The following is a 2259-nucleotide window of genomic DNA, read 5'->3' as shown; positions in this document are numbered from 1 at the left end:
TTTAATATTACCTATCACATTGAGTGACTAGTAATTGTTCATTCATTCATATGTTCAACAACACAGGAGAGTATCTATTATGTGCAAGGCTCTGTGCAAGGTGCTGAGAATTCAGAAATAAGATGAAAAAAGTATTTGTTGGCTGGATAAGTGAAAGAAAAATTGGATTGATAAGACATAGCACATGCCCTCAAAAAACTCACAGTCTAGGAAATGTTAGTTCAAAAATTTCTTAATACCTTTTACACTTATGTATTAGTTCACACTGCTATAAAGATATATCTGAGACTGGGTAATTTACAAAGAAATTTCACAGTTCCACGGGTTGTACAGGTTTCTGCTTCTGGGGAGGCCTCAGGAAACTTACAATCATGGTAGAAGGGCAAAGGGGAAGCAAGCTTCTTTTACATGGCCAGCAGGGAGGAAGAGAGTGAATGTCGAGTTGCTATACACTTTCAAACAATCAGATTTTGTGAGAACTCTCTCACAAGATAGCAATAGGGAAATGGTGATTAACAATTAGAAACTGCCCCCATGATCCAGCCACCTCCCACCAGTCCCCACCTCCAACACTGGGGATAACAATTCAATATGAGATTTGGGTGGGGACACAGAGCCAAATCATATCATTCCACCCCTGGTCCCTCCAAAATCTCAAGTCCTCCTCACATTTCAAAACACAATCATGCCTTCCTAACAGTACCTCAAAGTCTTAACTCATTCTAGGATTAACTTTAAAGTCCACAGTCTAAAGTCTCATCTGAAACAAGGCAAGTCTCTTCTGCCTATGAGCCTGTAAAATCAAAAACAAGTTAGTTACTTCCAAGATACAATGGAAGTACAGGCATTGGATAAGTGCTCCTGTCCCAAAAGGAGCTCCATTGACTGAAACAAAGGGGCTACAGGCCCCATGAAAGTCCAAAACCCTGTCATTAAATCTTAAAGCTCCCAAATAATCTCCTTTGACTCTATGACTCACATTCAGGACACACGGATGCAAGGGGTGGGCTCCCAAGTCCTTGGGCAGCTCTACCCCTATGGCTTTGAGGGGTACAGCCCTTGCAGCTGCTTTCATGAACTGGCGTTGAGTGCCTGCAGCTTTTCCAGGCACATTGTGCAAGCTGTTAATGGATCTACCATTCTGGGATCTAGAGGATGGTGGCCCTCTTCTCACAACTCCACTAGGCACTGCCCCAGTGGGGACTCTGTGTAGGGGCTCCAACCCTGTGTTTCCTTTCCACATTGCCCTCATAAAGGTTCTCCATGAGGGCTCTGCCCCTGCAGCAGACTTCTGCCTGGACATCCAGGTGTTGCCATACATCCTCTAAATTCTAGGTGGAGGCTCCCAAGCCTCAGCTCTTGCCCTCTGCACGCCTGTAGGCTTAACATCACATGGAAGCTGCCAAGGCTTGCAGCTTACACCCTGTGGAGCAGCAGCCTGAGATGTATCTGAATCCCTTCTAGCCACAGCTGGAGCTAGAGCAGCTGGGATGCAGGGCCATGTCCTGAGGCTGCACAGAGCAGCAGAGCCCTGGGCCTGACCCACAAACCATTTTTCCTTCCTAGGCCTCCACGCTTGTGATGGGAATGGTTGCCACAAAGGTCTCTGAAATGCCTTGGAGTAATTTTCCCATTGTCTTGGCTATCACTCTTCAGCTACTGTTTACTTATGCAAGTTTCTGCAATGGGCTTGAATTCCTCCCCAGAAAATAAGTTTTTCTTTTCTATGACATGGTCAGGCTCGAATTTTCCAAACTTCTATACTCTGCTTCCGTTTTAAATATAAGTTCCAATTTCAGGTAATCTCTTTGCATACACATATGAGAGGACACAGCTAAAGGCAGCCAGGTAACACCTTGAATGCTTTTCTGCTTAGAAATGTCTCCCACCAGATACCCTAAATCATTTATCTCTGGCTCAAAGCTCCACACATATCTAGGGTAGAGGCAGAATGCCTCCAGTCTCTTTGCTAAGGCATAGCAAGAGTGACCTTTACCCCAGTTCTCAAAAGTCTCTTATCTCCATCTGAGACCACCTCAACCTGGATTTCATGGTCCATATAACTGTCAGCATTTTGGTTAGAACCATTCAACAAGTCTCTAGAAAGTTCCACACTTTCCCTCATCTTCCTGTCTTCTTCTGAGACCTCCAAACTGTTCCAGCTTCTGCTCTTTACCCATTGCCAAAGTTACTTCCACATTTTTAGGTATCTCTGACAATGCTCCCTTCTCTGGTACCAATTTTCTGTATTAGTTTATT

General features: G+C 44.5%; 1 annotated feature.

Moving 5' to 3' along the window:
• Positions 1196-1697: an enhancer, noted in NCBI's record as "H3K27ac hESC enhancer chr9:27788871-27789372 (GRCh37/hg19 assembly coordinates)". NCBI's record gives its function as "activates a minimal SCP1, AML or CMV promoter by ChIP-STARR-seq in naive H9 embryonic stem cells {active_cell/tissue: H9 hESC(naive)}" and the evidence as "EXISTENCE:reporter gene assay evidence [ECO:0000049][PMID:30033119]".

The sequence above is a fragment of the Homo sapiens genome, chromosome 9 (genome assembly GCF_000001405.40).
Source record: "Homo sapiens chromosome 9, GRCh38.p14 Primary Assembly".
In the NCBI taxonomy this organism is placed as follows: domain Eukaryota; kingdom Metazoa; phylum Chordata; class Mammalia; order Primates; family Hominidae; genus Homo; species Homo sapiens.
The sequence above is the reverse complement of the archived record's forward strand: the minus strand, read 5'-3'. Positions and strand labels throughout refer to the sequence as shown.